The sequence below is a fragment of the Homo sapiens genome, chromosome 11 (assembly GCF_000001405.40).
Source record: "Homo sapiens chromosome 11, GRCh38.p14 Primary Assembly".
Lineage (NCBI taxonomy): Eukaryota > Metazoa > Chordata > Mammalia > Primates > Hominidae > Homo > Homo sapiens.
In genome coordinates this window covers 87,310,834-87,331,784 of record NC_000011.10, presented here as the reverse complement: position 1 = coordinate 87,331,784, position 20,951 = coordinate 87,310,834, and the positions used below count along the sequence as shown (strand labels likewise).

At 35.0% G+C, this 20,951-nt stretch overlaps 1 protein-coding gene and 2 pseudogenes across 5 annotated transcripts in view; 2 read left to right on the top strand and 1 right to left on the bottom strand.

The window, feature by feature from the left end:
• Positions 1,727-2,571, top strand: PSMA2P1 (proteasome subunit alpha 2 pseudogene 1; annotated as a pseudogene).
• Positions 2,961-20,951, bottom strand: part of TMEM135 (transmembrane protein 135) — a 290,891-nt gene continuing 272,900 nt past the window's right edge. For all 5 annotated transcript variants that reach the window (NR_033149.2, NM_022918.4, NM_001168724.2 and 2 more), the window contains 5 exons: positions 18,297-18,360; positions 17,238-17,314; positions 13,550-13,648; positions 12,408-12,475; positions 2,961-10,584 (listed from right to left, as the gene is read on the bottom strand). Coding sequence is in view for 4 of the 5 variants with exons in the window: in NM_022918.4 (NP_075069.3) it covers positions 10,452-10,584; positions 12,408-12,475; positions 13,550-13,648; positions 17,238-17,314; positions 18,297-18,360 (441 nt within the window). In the remaining variant the exon portion in view is untranslated. The remainder of the gene's footprint in view (positions 10,585-12,407; positions 12,476-13,549; positions 13,649-17,237; positions 17,315-18,296; positions 18,361-20,951) is intronic.
• Positions 7,424-8,078, top strand: LOC100420680 (coiled-coil domain containing 90B pseudogene; annotated as a pseudogene).

Below are 20,951 nucleotides of genomic sequence, written 5' to 3'. Positions count from 1 at the left end.
CTCAGCCTCCCAAAGTGCTGGGATTACAGGCATGAGCCACTGTGCCCAGCCGGAAACTGAGGCTTTTAAGCTTCAATAGGTAAGATGAGACCAGCCTTTAGTCTAGGGTTAATTTTGCTCCCCTATGAGGCTCTATTTTCCTGACTACTCTATCCAGCACCCTTTGTAAAATGAATTGTGCTACTCTGGCTAGCAGGAACACAAACTACTCGCTTCCTTGCGTGAACTCCAATGATTGCTCCCTCTGCTCCTTTCGGGTGGTTCTTTCTCCAACCTTGGTAATTTTCCCATGCATGCCGAAGTACTCAGCTTATGTCTCAAGGGGGACGCTCTTGAGATCTGCAAGCCTTTTTTCTGTGCAGCTCTCTCCTCTTTTGTACTCTGCCTTATGAACTTCATCGACTTTAGCCTCTCTGGACTCCCACCTCTGTTCCCTCAACTCAGAGAAATCTCTGGTTTCTCTCTTAGTTCTCTTTCCTTAGGCTGCAATCTGGAATCTCTCTCCAGATATCAGCTAGGGGAATCATAAAACACAACTCATTTGTGTTCCTTCTTTCAGGATTGTTGCCATTCACTGCTTCATGACTAGTGTCTGAAAACTATTGTTTTATTACATACAGTATTGTCAGGTCTTTTAGTTGTTTCAGATGAAAAGGTAAATCTTGTTCCTATTCTTTTAGTTAAGCTGAAAGTAAACATCAACCACTTTGGGAGGCAAGGGTTTTTATTTCAGTGATAAATGATTAATTTTAAGGGGAGTGAGTAACGATGCTACTTAAAATTTCAACTCTTGGAGATCTGAGTTCAAATTCCAGTATTGTTACCTTGGGTAAATTACCACACTTTTTGATTCCCAGTTCCCTAGCTGATAAAACAGAACTAATAATACCTACCTGATAAGGTGTGAGGATTGAGTGAGATATAAACAATTTACCACATATCAGAGGCACACCTCTTAAATTTTAGTGTCCTTCTCTTTCCTCTAAAAATGAGTATCAGAAGCTATTTGTTAGAGCCCTACCTATATTGATAAGAGTGATTCCAATCCTTTTCCTCTCTCAAATATCTAAGGCCCTATCTGTTATAGAAAAACAACAGCAACAATTTTTTTTTACCTTAATATGCTATTCAAAGGCCAGACATAAAATATAATTCTGGGAAAACTGCCTGTGATTTTTCACTCTGTGAAACTAAGTGGGAAGGGGGAGCCTCGTGTCCTGTCCTGTCTACTTCTGGTTTGGATTTTGAAGTTTTTAAAGTGGGGAACAATCCAGAATTCCAGCTCTGTCAGGAAAAAAAACAAACAAATGAAACAGATGACAAATCATTTGTCTAGGACCTGAAGCCAAACTGGCTTCAATAGCTGCTGGGATAGTAGTAGGAGCCAATTTCCTGCAGTATTTACAAAATCATTTGTAAGAATAATATTTTCCAGACTTTTATAGGAAAAATTAAGTGTGAATTTTTGGTCTGCAGACTCCATAAAGTTAGCAGGCATCCAACAAGCAGCTGCTGAGAAAACCACCTCCCATCCTAACTCCACTCCCTTTATAAAGGCCTGACATACACTCAGTTGGAGGATAAGCTGTAGTCTTTGCTCTTCAAATATATACCACAACCTAAAAGAGCAACAGATGAATACATAGCTAATCAGAATCAAATGAAATGTGCTTTATTGGGGGTATTAGCAAACTGCTGCACTAAGACAGAGAGAAAAGGGTTATCTGGATAAAGATGGAGGAACTTAGTTACAGCTTCTCGCTGACTACATTGGGCCTGTCTAGTAAATTTGTCCATATTGAATAGGCTTTGGCTGCTCTAGCTGGAAAAGCCCTTTCAGTGGGAGTTAAAGCAGCAAATGGCATGGTATTAGCAACTGAGAAGAGCAGAAATCTATTCTATATGATGAGCAAAGTGTACACAGAGTGGAACCAATTACCAAACATACAGGTTTGGTGTATAGTGGCATGGGTGCAGATTACAGAATGCTTGTGCATGGAGTTCAAAAGCTAGCTGAGCAATACTATCCTGTTTACCAAGAACCCATTCCCACAACTCAGCTGGTAGAGAAATTAGCTTCTGAGATGCAAGAATACACCGAGTCTGGTGGTATTTGTCCATTTGGAGTCTTTCTACCTATTTGTGGTTGTGGGGGACAGACATATTTACTCAGGCAGATCCATCTGGAGCTTTCTTTGAATGCCACAGCAATGGGAAAGAACTGTGTGACTGGGAAAACTTTCTTTGAGAGAAGAAACAATGAAGATCTGAAATTTAAAATGCCATTCATATAGCCATCTTAACCCTAAAGGAAAGTGTTAAAAGGCAAATGACAGAAGATAACATAGAAGTTGGAATCTGCAATGAAGCTGTATTTAGGAAGTTTAGTTCATCCAACTGAAGTTAAGGATTACTTGGCTGCCACGGCATAATAATGAAGTGACTGAAAAATCCAGAATTTCAGATATTCTATCTACTTAAACATGTTTAAAGGATGTTTTGTTTTGCAGGCTCTTTTTAGATTTATTTCTATATGGTTAAAAACCAATGTTTTAAAAATGACACTTATAAGGCCAGGCACAGTGGCCCACGCCTATAACTGGAGAACTTTGGGAGGCTTAGGAGGGAGGATTGCTTGAGTGTAAGAGTTCAAGACCAGCCTAGGCAACACAGTGAGACCCCTGTCTCTACAAAAAAACAAAAACGAAAACAAAATTAATCAGGCATGGTGGCATGTGCCTGTAGTCCCAGCTACCAGGGAAGCTGAGGTGGAAGGATTACTTAAGCCTGGGACGTCAAGGCCACAGTGAGCCATGATCATGCCATTGCACTCCAACCTGGGTGACAGAGTGAGACCCTGTCTCATTTATACACTGCTGGTGAGAATGTAAATTAGTACAACCTCTACAGACAACAGTATGGAGGTGTCTTAAAGAACTAAAAGGAGATCTACCATAAAAGACACTCGTATATATATTTTTATTGTTAACACAGTTCACAATTGCAAAGATACAGAATCAACCAAAGTGCCCATAGACCAATGAGTGGATAAAGAAAATGTGGTATATATGCACCATGGAATACTACTCAGCCATAAAAAATAAAAGATGAAATAATGTCTTTTGCAGCATCTTGGATGGAGCTGGAGGCCATTATTCTAAGTAAAGTAACTCCGGAATAGAAAATCAAATTCTGTATGTTCTCAACTGTAAGTGGGAGCTAAGCTATGGATACACAAGGGTATACAGAGTGATATAATGGACTATGGAGACTCAGAAGGGGAAGGAATAAAAAGCTATATATTGGGTACAATGCACACTATTCTGGTGACAGGTGCACTAAAATTTCAGACTTCACCAATATACAATTCATCCATGCAACCAAAAACCACTTGTACCCCAAAAGCTACTGAAATAAAAATAAGCAAATTCATTCCTTAATTAAATGACACATAAAACATAATCAACTAAGATTTTTTAAAGATGAGCAAAACCTTCAAAGACGAGATTGACAGTATTTTAGCATACACAGAAGAGTGGAGAAAAAGAGAATTCTAAATCAAGAGAGAGAAGGATATAATGGGAAATGAAACTGAGATCTGATCTATACAGAATTGGAATATGTCCATTAGAAATGTTTTCAGCTGAAAGTAACAGAATTCTTGGGTAATAGAGCCATAAAGCCTGTGATGGTTAATTTTAGGCATCAACTTGACTGGATTAAGGAATATCTAGAGAACTGGTAAGGCATTATTTTGGGGTGTGTCTGTGAGGGTGTTTCCAGAGGAGATTGGCATGTGAGTTAGCGTGGACTAGGCAGAGAAGATCTGCCCTCAATATGGGCAGGCACCTCCAATCCACTGGAGGCCTGGGTAGAATAAAAACAGAAGAAAGGAGAATTGGCTTCTCTCTCTCCCCTGCAGCAGGGATACACTCTTCTCCAACTGCCCATGGACATTAGGACCCCAGATCCTCTAACCTTGGGACTCCAGGACTTAAAACTATCACTCCCCCATCCCACCCCCAGGTTCTCAGACTTGAAAATTCAGCCTTGGACTGAGAATTACACCATCAGTTTCCCTGGTTCCAAGGCTTTTGGACTTGTACTGAGCCAGACCACCAGCATCCCAAGGTCTCCAGGTTATGAATGGCCTGTGGTGGGGTTTCTCAGCCTCCACAATCACATGAGCCAACTCCCTTAATCCCCTCTCATATCTCTCTCTGTGTCTCTCTCTATCCCTCTCATATCTCTCTCTATGTATCTCTCTATCCCTATTGTTCTGCCTCTCTGGGAAACCCTGACTGATACAGAACTTTAAGAAATAGAGGTTTATTTTCTCAAAATGCTCAAATGCAGATGGTTAATGGCACCATTCAGTGGCTCACAGAAGCAGGTTCTTTCTATTTTTCTGACCTGGCATCTTTAATATGCTGGTTTTTCATGTTTGTACTTTTCATTTCATGTCTGCAAGATTGCTGCCACAGATTCAGACCCTACTGACTAATACTAATACCTTGAACAAGAGAAAAAGAGGTAAAAAGAACTTTCCTTTAAGCAGAGAGGGAAGATTTTTCCCAAGTGTTTCCCAGATTTTCCATTACATTTTATTGGCCAAAACAGGGTCACATGAACACCTCCGAGTAAAGGCTGGTTGGAAAAGTATCTGGACAAGAAGAAAGGAAAGACATGAAAGGCCTAGAACAATTATGATTCATCCCTGGGGCTAGGCATGTAACTGTCTTAAACAACATCAGTGTTCCCTCAGCAAGGAAAAACTGCCACTAGTTGAGCAATTAACAATGACTGCAATCCCATTTTTGAATTTTAATCCAAGTTATAGGAAGCGTTTTAGTGAAAAAAAAAAAAAAAAAAAGGTCCTCAGATGATTCAATGATGCCTCTAGTTTCATAGATTTATTTATCCTGCCCTTTGGTTCTGAAGAGAGCCTTAGTGCTATCCCTGAGCAGTGACAGGCTATCAAAAACTGCCGACTCAGATTCAGATGCAACTGAATTTCTTCCTGAAGCTTTGCAGATATTATTTACCTTCAATTTTCCCTGAAATAAATAGAAAAATAAGGACTCCTGTTTTTTCCCTTGAGAGCTCAAGATGAAGAAATACATAGCAAAGATATGGCAGGAAAGCATGGGCCAGGAAAGGTAAAGAAAAGAATAGGAGAAAAGAGATAAGGCTTAAAATATGTTTATAGTCTCTTCTCTCCCATTCCTTTTGGCATCCAATCCCATAATGACCAACCACAGAATGTACTTCATGCTTTAAACCTTTGGCACTATAGCTTCAGGGTCCTCTTAGGTGACCAAAAATAATCTGAAAAGAAAATTAATTTAAGAGATCGATTAACTACTGGAAAAAGTTTAATAGACACTGAAGAACTAGACTTCGAAAATTAACTGGTCCTAGTTCAGGGATGGAGGAAAGTAGTAATGCAGGGTGACCTCAGCCAACATAGGTCTACAGGTCTACTTTATGGAAGCCTGAATCTCTCAAGACAGAAAGGGATGCTGAGTCTAAGCAAGGCAGATAAAGCATGTTGTATGCCTATGGCCTCTATGCCAAGACCAGGGAACATCCTATTATCCACGGTCTGACAAGATTAGAATGTTATGCTCTGCAGAGGCAGCAGGCTGGGGGTGGGGGAGAGTATGGCACAAAACTGAATATTAAAAAAAAAAAAAACTGAACAGGCAAGCTATAGTAGTTTGTGAGCTAAAGAAAGAAGTATAAACTGCTCTTGGCCCTGATGTCCCTGTTGGTGACCAGATGGTATGTGTGTCTGTGGTAATATACTGGGATTTTCAGGTCTGCTGGGACAAAAGATAAAACCCAATACATTATTTCATGTAAAACATATTCGTAGGAGGGACAGATGGAAAAAAAATGGAGAAAGTAAAAGAAAATAGGAAATTCCAGAGTCAAGTGATGTTACGGGGTTTTAAGAAGAGAAGAAATTAATTGTTCTGGATTTAAAGGCTTCACATACAGAGAAACATCTCCTTCCATATCTGTGCAATTATCTTCTACATCATCCTGCCTAAGAAAAACAGAGCATATAAAAAAAAAATCAGTGTCTCTGGAAATGTTTACTCCATTGTTATCACCGTTATGATCACTCCAGAGCCTCTCACTTGAACGGCTGGCTTAAAAGGTTGCAATGAAGTCCAAGGAGACTAGTTAACATAAAGTAACACCAGCAAGCAGAGAATGGACAAGGTGGCAGGGAGAGGGAGCAGCAAGAGAGACAGACAGAGAGAGAGAGAGAGGGAGAGAGAGAGAGCCCACATAAAACAGCAACAGAATAATTTCCAAAAGACCAGATATAAATTCTTTCCTCCAACCAAAAGTCAATCATTTTCTTCTGTGTGTAAAATAGCACACATTCTTATTCACCACAGCTGTAAGCTTAAGGCCATTCACTCACTACTCTGCTGTAGTCCTATGACACTAGCTATATCATGGCCAACTTACTGCCCCACTTCTGTTTCCAGAAGTCACACACACTAGAGTCAGTTTCATTTCTTTGTAGTTACCCTTTTTGCAACTACAGGGCTATTACAAAGTCACCTGAGGCCACTACTTTAAACAGAAACATAGTACTACAAAGCCCTAGAATCTAAGACAGCCCCCCAATCTGAGGGTCATCTCAGTCCTTGACACTCCTTTCTTTGTTAATTCCACAAGAAGAAGAAATTATAGAGCTGGCACCAATGGTGGCTTCAGCACCAATAGTAAAGGGCTGGAGGCAATTGTAAACATCACCTCCACAATGAAGGTAACCTTATTACTCATCACATTCAAAGTGCAGCCCTAAAGAAAATAATCACTTCTTATTCCTTTTCTTGTATTTTTTTCTTGGCCACTCATTTTCAGCTGAGTGAAGTATTCTACTATGTGAAAATGATTACTAGAAGGAGGTGTTAGGAGAGAGAATGTTTATAAGATATCTTAGTAAGAAATGTATACTTTTGCCTTTGGGAAACAAAGGACAACTTTGTTGCTGTGTCAAACTACTTAATACTCATACAAATAAAAATATGGCTAGGTACCGTGGCTCACACCTGGAATCCCAGAGTCCCGGGAGGCCAACCCAAGAGGATCACTTGAGGCCAGGAGTTTAAGACCAGCCTGGACAACATAGCAACACCTTGTTTCTACAAAAAAAAAATAAATAAAATAAATATTAGCCAGGCATGGTGGCACATGCCTGTTGTCCCAGCTATTAGAGACTGAGGGGAAATAATTGCTTGAACCAAGGAATTTGAGGTTTCAATGAGCTATGATTGCACCACTGTACTCCAACCCGGGCAACAGAGCTAGACCTCAACTCAAAAAATAAAAAAATAAATCACACGGAGAATTTAAGGAATCTCTGGGCTAATAATTTCTCTGCTCCAAAAACAACATTTGGGCCATTGCTCCAGTGGTCAGTTCCCTTCAGTCCCACAAGAAGCTTCCTAATTAGCACCAAGGGAGAGGTTGTGACACAGGCAAGTGGACGAAGCTCCCTGAGAGTAAAGGACATTGCTTTTCATTACCTATGAAATGTAGAGCACACAGAAGCTCAGGGATATGATAAAATATAAGCAGGAAACAATTACGTCAGCATTAACAACTAAATGAAATGTTAGCCTAGATACAATCTACAAGGAGACGAACACTCGAGCACAACAAGAAAATACTGTGTGACATTTGCTCAGTTTGGATTCCATCAAAAACATACATGTTCAGTCTAATAAAAGTTCATTATAAAATCTGAGAGCCAAAAAAATATAAAATTCTAAATTAAATAACAACTGACTAAACAACGAATGAAGGCAAAAAATAAACTAGATATCAACTGAGTGATGACTATGCTTATAGTTCAAGAAAAAAGTTACAGAAGCAAAAGCAGAATTTATGGGAAAATAAAACTAAACCAAAGGTGTTACTTCAAAAATGAGTAATAAAATGGATCCTGAAATTATTTGATGAAAAACTGCTGAGAATTGAATAGATTTGAGACAATCTGTTATCTTGCAAACTCAATCTTTACTCGGTTGCTACTAGTTCTAGGATTTTATTAAAACAGAAAATAGCAACGAAATGACCATAATACCACTGCCCCAAATGCACGGTTTTTCAATCTCAATCTATATAAAAATGTCAGAAAGACTAAGGGGACATATTATTGTTTACTGTAATCAGTTCCAGTGAAAACTTACCATTTCTTCAGGATATAAATAAACTAAAAAACATATTTTGGAATGCAGAGATCTATTTTACTTTATTTATAATGCCAAAAAGTTGTCAATCAATACCTGATTAGTTAGAGGTAGAAAGGTAATCATTCTGATTGTCTTCAAAAACACAAAGTTTCTTTGTGTTTGCTCAAACAACTACACTTTGCAGTCTGTCCCAATGAAATCAAACTGGACTTCTCAATCCACCACTGCAAATTGGTTATTCACTCAACCTATACATTCATCATTGTATTCTGCTTCATGATAGCTATTTCATTTTACATTTTACATAAAATTTAAAAAAATGACTGCAATTTATAAAAATGAAAAGGTAAATTGTAGAAATACACCTTTTTGACCAGCAAAATTTTACTAAACAATCTCAGCAAATTTCGTAATTCATCTTTCAATATCACAGTCTTTTAATGTCAATGAAAACAATAATTTATGAATTAAAACATCTTTTTAAACCTGACAGGAAAATATATAAGCACAATTTCTGGATAAAGAAAATGAGGTGCAGTTCTCAGGGCTTTAGTACTTCATTTTAAACAGTAAACACAGTACCAACCATCGTTTTGATTCCAGTGAATAAAAAGTTAAGATTAAATTTATTAATCAACTTTGAAGTCTGAAACCGAAATGATCCTTTAACAGCATTGCCAAATAAACAGGTCAGTTCTACAAAGCTAATCATAATGCCAAATTTTGACCAAATGATAAAGTGGCTCTGTTACCATAGTACCAGAGTCTGTCTTTTTGTTGGGTTTCTGTTTGCCATAACAACCAAGGATTGAATTACATTTAAGCAGAAGTATACAAGGCTTGATGAAATTGAATATGAGGGATTAAGCATTTTTAAAGTATGGGTTATAATTCCTTTTGCAACACAAGTTCTACTGCATAATTTGCACTGGCCTAAAAACTTTTTAGCAACAAAATGTATTTTAAAAATATCATCATCCCTACATGTCACATTAACTGTAGACCACTTCAGCTCTTTATTAACATAGAAAAGTATAACTTTTCCCTGAAAAACTGTAAATAGCGACCATATTTCAATCACAGCTGTCCTGAACTACTCTCATTATCAGCAGGACTTTATGGTGTCACCTCTTTATTCTAACAGTAAAAATGGTGACAATGATATTCAAGAAGAAGGTTGGAGAACCTGAATGGAATTAGTGACAAATGGACTTTTTAAACAACCACTGGATTTTTATAGTGTTTTCAGGTGCAAAACATCCATTACATAAGTTAAACAGCTGAGAGGACACAAACTGCCAACTTGCCAAGACTACTTTGTTCCATAGGATTTTGATCCCTTCTAATACAACAATGGCATATAAACTGAGCTATGAAGGATTATGTCCATATAAATGAAAACAAACATCATAAACCTATAGGAAGTTTAAAAGTTTTGTTTTTAAATATTCAAGTGTAATACTTCTGTGAAAGATTAAAACATACATTTCAACTTTATCGGATGTGTCCATTTCCATTTGCCCCTAACTTGCCATTAGTACATAGGTTCACTGGGCTGCCAAATAGCCCAATTAACTGGTCATGAAGAGAGATGATGTTATTAGTTGAAAAAAAGCATGGATACCACGACATTTATCCAAATGGTATGAGACCCATCTTTGCATCCCTGAAGTAAGAATGGCCACTTCTCCAATTAAATTGCTCTACACGAAAGCAGCACTGTCCGTGGAGAGTTACTTCAAATCTATAACATTCCACTACTACAGATACCAATTCAAAACTTTAAAAAAATATATAGACCAAATCCATGTACCCGTGATCCTTTGTAAATCCTAAAATGTAGAAATAATCCTAATTTTAATCAAGAATTATATTGGAATGAACTAAAGACATCTTTTAAAGTAATTTTAAGTGTACTCTTGTTTGTTATTACACTTCTACGTAGATTATATAATATTGCTTGTGGACATAATTTGATCAATAATATATAATGTCAGTCACTACAGTGATCCAGAATCTTATTCTGGCTATGGAGGAAGCTTAATTATTAAGCAACATCTTCCTAAAAAGCTTCTGAATTTCTGATTCATAAGAAAAACAAAACAAATGAAAAGAGTATCTCTAACTGAAATAACACTGAAGTTCGAGCTTGGGCCCCCTCCTTTGTGTTCAACATAATTAACTCTTCAAGATGAAACATTTAGTCACATTAATAAGTTACAGTCATCTTCAGGAAAACTCTGTGGGCAACTCTGGTGTTACAGTTGTGTATCTTGGATCCAACCTGGGGATGAAATCCTGAAAGTGTTTAGATGCACCAGTACCAAAAACATCAAGGACTTTTCGGTTCATGACAGCAAATCTGTAAAACAAAGAATACAGTAAACAAGTATTAATATAGTTTATAAAATAAAATAATTCATTTTAGTTGACTTATCTTATGTGGGATGGGAAAACAGAAAAGGCTAACGTGGCAAAGGATCTAAATTCAATGGCAGATTCAAGTCACATGAAGGCTCTTCTTCGAGATACACTGTCTCATATTTTATTTAAAGAGATAATCCAGTTAGGATTAAGGATTAAAGAGATAATCCCCAGATCTGAAACCGCAGAGATTACAACCATTATTTTAAACCCTTCTAGAATTCTTTCCACTAGACTGTATCAAATAGAAAATTAGGTTCATTATTATTTTTATGATGAATGAATTCACAGGAAACTAAACAATAAATGAGCTAACATTACCAATGAGGCAAAAGCATTAAATGTAATTTCTCTCATAATTGACATCATAATGTCTCACCATCAAATGAAAACACATTCAAATGTGCAAACATTTAATGACTAAAAGGCAAACAGCATATAGGTTTTCAAATGTTTAATAGACACAACACAGTAAAAATATACCCTAACGTTATCCATTACCTAACCTAAGATATATAACATTTTTTAAACACACAAATTTAGCTAATGTACAGGATAGACCTTCTGGGTCTCTGTGCTTATTCACAAGCATTTCCTTTCTGGAGAAAACAGCTGAATGAAATTAGTTTTGAATCACTGGCCAGCATTATTCTGACAGCCTATAAATGTGACTTTCAGTACTTTTCCAAAGTAAGTTCCCTTCCAAAATAATCAATTAGTAAAACTTATTAATGTGCAGAAAACTAAATGACAAAAAATGATTAAACAATAACAATGTAAAGGATCTACAGTGACATGGATAAGAGGGAAAGTTCTGAAGCCAGACTGCCTGGTTTATGTTCCAGCTCCTTCATTTACTAACTGAGTGACTCTGGCAAGCTATCTAACCCCTTTGTACATTTTAGTTTCCTCATATGTAAAACAGGGATAATAACAGAACCTAACTCTTACAGTTAGGATTTAAGGATTAAATGCATATTTATGTATACATGGATATTGTATGTGTGCCTCTTAAAACCATATGTTGGACATTGTCAGCACTATACTAGTATTTGCTATTATTATTAATAATGATAGCAATTCATACATGCAATTTACCCAGCGCTACTATAAGCATCTTAATTTTCCTACAACCATACAATGTATGCATTATTATTTCATTGTAGACCGAAAAAAACTTAGGCTCACGAGGGTAAATAATTTTCCATAGCAACACAGCTGAAGGTAGCAGAGCTGGAATCAAACTTAGGTCTGTCTGACTCCAAAGCCCATGCTCTTTCTATTAGGTCAAAATGCCTCCCAAAGAATTAGATTAAGATCAGGGGAGAAAACAAAACAAAGCAAAAATGATATGTAAGGTAGAGGAACATATACTTACAACAAGAAGCAACACAATATGACTATTTCCAAAATGGAAATCAGTTAATTATGTGGAGATGATCTTTAATGAATCTGTTTAATATTTTTAATCAAAAAGAAATGGACAGTGATTCAAACAGTCAGACTTAAGTATTTATGTAGCAGCTAATTAGTAGTTAGCAAATCAACATGATATTAATCTAGACCACTTAAAACATCTACAATATTATAGGGAAAAGAATAGTCAGAATAATGCTCACTCAAAAAACGCCCCATGTTATTCTTAGTTAAGTTACTCATATTTTATTTATATATAAATACCTACTTTACCACTGAAAGAATATTCCCTCAAAAAGATAAAACCACTCATAATATTTTTAAGAAAACTACGTAGTCACTTACTTGCCCTTGGTGAGTCTTAAAAGGAACTTCCAGTAAGATGGTCTCAAAGTCTGAACTTCCATGACAGCCTGAGTATTAAATTTGAGAATTCTTTTAGTAAATATAAATGAAAACTGAAAGTGATGAAATACACAAAGGTGTATTGATGTTTAAGTTGGTAACTATCAAGAATTTTTGTAAATATGCCTTCAAATAAAAATGTTGCTTTTGGCTGGGCACGGTGGCTCACACCTGTAATCTCAGCACTTGGGGAGGCCGAGGCGGGCAGATTACCTGAGATCAGGAGCTCGAGACCAGCCTAACCAACATGGAGAAAACCCGTCTCTACTGAAAATACAAAAATTAGCCAGGCGTGGTGGTGCATGCCTGTAATCCCAGCTACTTGGGAGGCTGAGGCAGGAGAATCACTTGAACCCAGGAGGCAGAGGTTGCAGTGAGCTGAGATCATGCCATTGCACTCCAGCCTGGACAAGAGCAAAATTCCATCTCAAAAAAAAAAAAAAGAAAAAAAAAAGTCACTTTTGAAATAATAATTAAGTGAATAGTCATTATCAGGAAGCATTTACTGAGATATTGATACTTCATTAGTTTTAATGAGTTTTTCAAGCTGGCAGCATTTTATGAGAAAGAGCAAATAAAAGTTTTCCCAAAAATTTTACAACAGCCCTAACACCGTTAATGTCAATAATAATGGTTACAGAATTCAGAGATTGAACAATGCTTATATGAAACTAGTTCTTCCCCATCCTCCTTCTGAATAATATTGGAGAAATGCAATTATTTATATTTATGCCTATTATCAGCATATCCCTATTATCCTTTTTTTTTTAATCAAAGGGAAGGATAATTAAATTGGGGCATTCTTCCCAAGGTACTGGAACAATAATTTACTTATAAATTGTACTCTATTAAAACCTAAAAATTGGTGTACTCATAAAAAGGACCTAGCGCATTAGGTTAACATTAATGATTAGAAGCTGGTAAGCTATCTTGCTGAAAAAAAAACAAAACAAAACAAAAAAGAAGCTTAAAATGTAATACTGTAAATAGAAATGTTCCCAGAGTTTGTTTCTCTCCCATTTGATTAACGTACATTAGAAACAGGAATCATTCAATTTCTCATTTCAAAAAGTTATACTTACTGCCTGGAAGCAAATTGCTGTAGAGATGGAATAGATGATAGTATCTGCATGAGGAAAATAGGGAACCTTCCCTGCTTCAATGCCTTTGAAATACATTGTCTGCAAAACAAGCATAAGACAAGAGTTATAAAGAAAAAACCTCAGCATTAAAAACATAGTTGAGCATTGTGCTCCCTGCCTACAACCTTTCTGAATCCTAATACTCCCTTCAGAGCTCAAACGATGTCACATTTTTCATAATGATGTTAAGGGTCAGCCCTTCCCTTTCCCTCACAGTTTTGCTCCAAATCCCAGCTTCAAGTAGTAGTACTTTTCTGTAAATTCAGTAGCATTTTATTTCTGCTTTTTAAATGATATTTACTCTTCAATGCTTTCTGTACAGTGCTCATGTGTTCTCTTCCCTGATAGATCTGTTCATCCTTTATTAATTTATTCAGTAAACATTTAATGGTGTCTACACGCCGGGCACTATTCTCCACAAAATAAAGAATATAAATAGGATGAGAACTCAAAAGAAGTCACTGACAGGTGGCAACAGCCTTCTCTTCTTCAACTTTGCATGATCTTCAGTACCTAACCTAGAACATGGCATTAAAATATTTGCTAAGTAAATCTGACTCTTTTTAAATTATATCCCAACTGAATTGCCATAAAAAGAATCCTCAAGATCTATATAAGCTACCATAACCAAAGAGCAAAGCAACAAAGGAAATGATAAGGTGGATACTTTACATACAAATCAATCCAAAAGTATATACTGAGGATTAAATGTACATAATGTGTAAAAGAGACTGGGATATATGAGAATTTGTAAGATATATACCAAGTTATAATCTATTTTGGAAACAAGATAAATATACATTGGCCATTATTTTGAGAAAAATATGTAACAGTATATTGCAAGATAGAGATACATTGTGCTGTATTCATGTTGAAGATTTAATTCAGATGTGGTAGAACTGCGTCACAGAAATGTTAAGTGAAACAGCTATTTCCCAATAGATAGAATAACTGCGTTTCTAATTATTTATTATAAAATTCATTTAATAAACCAGATTCTAAGTTAATGAAGGACAGAAACCATATCCTATACTTCTATATTCTTTCCAGTACCTAGCACAGTAATGAGAACATAATATATACTAAATAAATACATGCATTTGACTCAGAGGTTCCTAGAAAACAATGGTCTATACAGTTGATTTTTATATCATTTTCACTGTACAGTAATAGAACATTTTAATATAAAATTAACTTCAATCACAGAAAAATGATTGTCTATTACCAGAGCAATGAATTCCACAAAAGGACATAGCAAGCTTAAATTTCTAATATCCTATTTAAAAAAAAAAAAAAGTCTGCATCACCATAGTTTATATGCCAGTTTCTTTTGCCAGGATCAGATATGGCCTGATGACACAAGAAACAGAGAGATACCATTCCTTGCCTTAAAAAACTCTGGCCACTTAGCTGTAAAATACCTTTAATAAACTAGATCTCAATATTGGTTTCCTCTTGTGTTAAAGAATATATTTTTGCCACCTAAGGATTATTTTCTTTCTCTCAGTTCCCTTTTCCTCTCCATTAGCAAGTCTTGCCAATTCTACTCTTAAACATACACCAAATCTGTATAGTTCTCTCCATCTCTACTGCTATCATCCTGGTGCAAGCCACCATTTCCTGACACAGACTAACTGTTCTCTCAGCTTTGATCCTGCCTCCCTCTAAAATAGTGGCCAAAATGTTCTTCTTAAAATGTGAATTAAATACTGTCATTTCCATGCTTAAAACTCTTCAGTGGTTTCCAGTGCACTGAGAAAAAAACAAATTCTTTACCCCAGCTTTTAAAATCCTACATGATGGTCTGGCTCCTGCCTGTCCTCCTGATTTCATGATGTATATATTCTCTCAATCTCTCTCTCTTTCTCTGTCTCTCTCTCTCTCTCTCTCACACACACACACACACACATATATTTGGGTAAAGCAAGTAATTAAGTTAAATAAAATCTACACTCTTAACTTTGAATTAGAAATATCACTATGTTCCAAATGTATTTTCTGTTTCTAAAAAGCAAGGGGAGGGAGATTCTCTAGCTCCATTCACTGCGAAAGCCAAGAATCAGTAACTAGCCTGGGAGCAAATAACCTCTAGCACCTGGATTGAAATCTTTAAATACCATTTCCCACTAAAACAAACTAGGAGCCATTACAGAGAAGACTGATTCTACATCTGAGGCAGAAAATGTCCCAGATGAGCCCGGAATATATTGTCTTACAGCAAGAAAGCTATCAAAGATAATGGTGTTATGTTACAACAAGGAGGAGTCAACTTAAGGAAGCTCTCATGGCCAAAGATGGGAACAATTTGAGCATAATGAAAATAAATCATATATGTTAAACTCCAAATCTTCATAATGATACTTTAAAAATAAAGACTCATGGGTCAACTTTGCAGGATGCTAAGGTACTAACTCATTCTAAACACTGGTAATTAAAAATGAACTAATCAAGCATTTTATTTTGACTTTCCAGAACAACGTATTTCAGAGTAACCAAATAGTTGAAAAGGAAAAATGCATTTAGAACAATTTCAGCTAATAAACACAGAATAAAGAGTAATAGTATTTTTCATCATTTTGCAACTCTTAATGAAATAATGAATCCCAGTGATAATTATTAACAGCTGCGAAAACCAATAGCTATAGGGCTACTGGGGAACCTTATGTTGGCTCTATCAACACCTAAGCCCACTGATCAATCTTAGCATCACAAAAAGAGAGAGAACCAGACATTTTTGTGCCTCGTCATGTGATGATGCAATTGGAAGTTCACATACACAGTAAATGTGAAGTATGGCTGTTACCTCCTACAAAAATTTAAACCTGAATTTGCTTAGGTCTCAAGATCTAGTTAACAACTAAAAAAATTTATGAGTTAAAGAAACATGTTAAACAACAACAGTGAGGGTGCAATCAGCAAAATCCAGAATTTGGGAAATTCCATGAACTAATGACCTACATCTTCAACAAATAAATGTCAAGGAAGAAGGAGGAGGAGGAGAAGGAAGAGGAGGAGGAGGAGGAGGAGGAAGAAAAGCAGTAGCAGCAGTAGTAGGGGGGTAACTATTATAAACTACAAGAAACTTTGTTTGGAACTTGATTAAAATAAAATGATTGCAAAAACATATTTATAAGATAATCAGTGAAGACATAAACTCTAATTGGATATATTAGTATGGAATTACTGGGAGGGTTTTAATGTATGATAATGATACTGTGGTATTGTTGATTTGTTTGTTTTGAAAAAGCCTTTAGCCTTTATTCTTTAAGGAGTCTTTATGCTGAAATTTTTTTAAGGATGAAATTATATAGTGTCTGGGATTGGCTTTAAAATAACTCGATACCTGTGGGGTTGAGGAGTATAGATGAAAGGAGACTGGCCAAATACTGATAACTGTTGAAGCTGCATGATGGGTGCATGAGGGTTAATTACACTACTCTTTCTATACTTAATGTATATTTGAAAATAACACACACACAAAGAAAAACACAGGGGAATCAACTTTGCAAATACTTTTAGAGGATTAAAATTTATGTTTGCCATTGGGATATACATTTGCTGCTAAAACAGTCAGCAGCTAAAAGCTTTATGTTCTTTGGAACTATTCTTGCACAAAAATTTCGCTTACCTCTACCAATTTGGACGCTAAATACATGGAAATTGTTGTGCTTTTATAAAACATCATTGATATACCTGCCAAAAATCCTGAAACAAGAAATAAGAAATAACTGATAAGATCGCAGAGTATTTATTTGTTATTATGTCATCAGAAATGTTAATTCACTTACATAGAATCAGCACTATCTCTTGTTACAACACAATCAAGGACAGTAATAAACCAGATGACATTAAAATGGGGTGAGATATTATTGCATATTTTTAAATTTAAAAAATTGATATTCAGAGTTAGAAATAAACAGTTCTGATTTATGTATAACAAGAAGCTTTACATTTCTATTTTAACTTTAAAGAGGAGTGGTCTTGCCAAATACAATTTAAAAAAAATAATTTTTCAAAGCCTCTTGGTTCCTTTTCGATTTTAAGTGGAAATATTTATTCATATATTCTCCTAATATTAAATAGCTCAAATGATGGTTAGTGCTATCACAATACTTCTCTCCATAGCACTGCTTTCATTATATAAATGGAAAACCAAGGCCAGGGGAGGAGGGGAGGTGTCGAATACTAATAACTAAGGTTATTCCTAATAAATACCTGATAAATTATCTATTTAATTTAATACATACATTGCACTTATAGAAAATAATATTTAGATTTTTTAATAAAATGATTAAGTTCCTTTAAAAAGTTATTATGAAAATATAGGTCACTTTCCAGTGGTAAAAATAGAATTTTCAATGAAATCTACTTGAACTTCCCTTAATCACTTATATGGCAAATATAAATATAAGGCTTTTTATATTCTTTTGTGACACATTCGCTAGGATTTATGGCCTATAGCAGGACAGATACCCAAGCCATTATATTGCCAACTCAAAACATCAGATGGCAACAGTGCCTTGATATGTTAAACATCACAAAGTATTTGGACAAGTGCCTCAACTGGAATTCTATTACGATAGAGAAAGGAAGATTCATAGAAATTGGATGAATTGGATGGTATTTCCAATTCATTCCTACCACTGATTAATACAATAATAACCATTCATTTTTATTATTGCTTTACCAGCTATAATAGCATGTAGTTCATCATCTAAGTTTCTGATCCAGCGCAGGAAGCAACTAGTACCCTAGTTAAGGAGAAAATACAATGACTTCAGTTATTTTATTTCTAGAAATAAAAGCATAAAACAAAAACAACTATAATGAATAAATTCATCAGATTACCTTGCAGGCCAATTAGTGATCTCATCTAAATCAAACTGCATACATGATTGGAAAAATTATGAACAATAATATTTTATAAAGTTATTACTCTATAGACTCTATTAAGAAATTACACATAATATTTTTATTGCACTGATTTTGCAAAATAAATCCATAAATTTCACTTTTGCCTAGCTATCGAATGCTGGGAAAAGCATCACTCCCATTTTAACAAGAACAAAAAGCTGGCTAAACTACAAGTCTGTCAGGCCACAATTCTATACCCAGAGAAAATATTTCTTAAAACTGAAGGTGAAACAAAGATTTTTTCCAGACAGATAAAAGCTGAGAAAATCCACCACCAGCAGATCTGAGTTCACAGAAATGTTAAAGGTAGAAGGAATATGACACCAGACAAAAATTTAGAACTATGAAAAGAAATGCAGAGTTCTGGAAATAGAAAAGTGAAGGTAAACTTAGAAGACATATTTTTCTTATCTTTACTTGCACTAAAAGTGAATTAACTATCTAAAATAGGGGTCAGCAAACTATGGCTCACTAGCCAAATCTGGCCTGCTACTTGTTTTTATATGGCTCAGGAGCTAATAATCATTTTTACAGTCTTAAAAAATGAAAAATAAATCAAAAGAATGACAACATCTTATGATGTGAAAATTACATCAAGTTCTAATTATAGTGTGATAAAGTTTTATTGAAACGCAGCCACACTTGTTCATTTATATATTGTCTATAGCTGCTTTCAGACTGTAACAGCAGAGCTGGGTAGTTATGACAGAGACCATATGGTCACAAAGCCTAATAGTCATGATCTGGCTCTTCACAGAAAAAGTGTGTTGACCTCTGATCTAAAACAAAAATAGTAACAACATATCGTGGAGTATATAACATATATAAAGATAAACGATAAATGTTAAATCCTATAACAAAGGATGGGAAGGAGAAATTCAAAGTACAGTGTTGTAAGGTCTGACACTGTATGTGAAGTAGTATAACATTACTTGAAGATTGGCTGATACATTAAAAATGTATATTATAAAATGTTAAGGCAGCCACTAAATTAAAGCAAGTACAAATAATAAGGCAATAGTGAAGCTAGAATGGAGCCATAGTAAAATACACAATCAATCCAGAAGGCTGAAAAAGAAAAAAAAAAAAAGAGGAAGAAAAAAAGGAACAAATACAAAAAAACTAACATGAAAGTAGGTTTAAACTCAATCACATCATAAACTATATATATTTACACATAATACATTATATGTAAACAGTATAAACATGCCAATTAGAAGACAGAGATGATCAGATTCTATAAGAAAGAAAGGGCCAACTCTCTGCAGCCTAAAAGAAACCAGTTTTTCAAACAAAGACAGAAAAAGTGAAAGAATGGAAACATTATAACATCAAACAATAATTTTGAAAAGTTGAAGTAGCTATATTAATATTAAACATAGACTATAAAACAATGAATATTACCAGAGATAAAGAGGAACCTTAACAAATTTTTAAAAAAGGGTCAGTTAACCAAGAAACAGAAAAAACAAGGTTTATTTGCCTGCTCTTCTCTTAAGATTCTTATAAAGATACTATAGCATGGGCAATTTGTTTTTGAAAAATCACATACAATTTTTGAACACACCACGTGAATATTTCCTGAGATTTTCTGACCCGGTTGTATTTTTGTTACTTTAATACCATTTGTTTGTATTACCTAAGTAAATAAATAGTAACAGAAATGAAAAATAAAAAAGCAAAACAAAACACACTCTGAGATAAGCTAGATGGCAGAGAATAACCAACCTGGGGCTAAAAATGTTGGTGATAAACCACATGTAAACAGTTAAGAGTTTATGTTAAGAATAAATACAAATGCTATAACGTGAGAAATTTTTTTAAATGTGAATATAAACATGCAATTACCAATAATCTGTCCTTAACTCTTGTATATTCAAATACATTAGTAATGCTTCTTAGTCAAACCATATTGAAAATGTTTTTAATATTAGTAATATTTCATAACAAGTGATTCATTATCTATAGTTTATTATTCCTCCTTTCCATTTCAAAATATTTTATCCATACCTACCTTTTATGAGTAAATTTTTACAGAAAACAACACTGTCCATGTTACCCTAAATAATTCCAGAATTGAGTTTTCCCATCATTAATTTTCTCTGCATTTAACAACAAAAAGTGTGTATATGTGTACGTATATATATATATATAGACATATATATATACCCACAGAATATATATTCTTCTTTCAATATATTTATTAAAATATACATTAAAACAGTCAAAGAAATAAAGTATGAATAAAATATATATTTATAATTTTTTTGTAGACAGAGGGAAGGTAGGCAAATCTCATCTACAAAAATGCACACTCCTTTAATGTCCTTAATTCATTAGTCAGACATATTGGAATGCCTGCTGCATGTTCCTACAAAATGAGACACAATCCCTGTGCTCAAAACACATATCTTTTATAGAGTAAAAT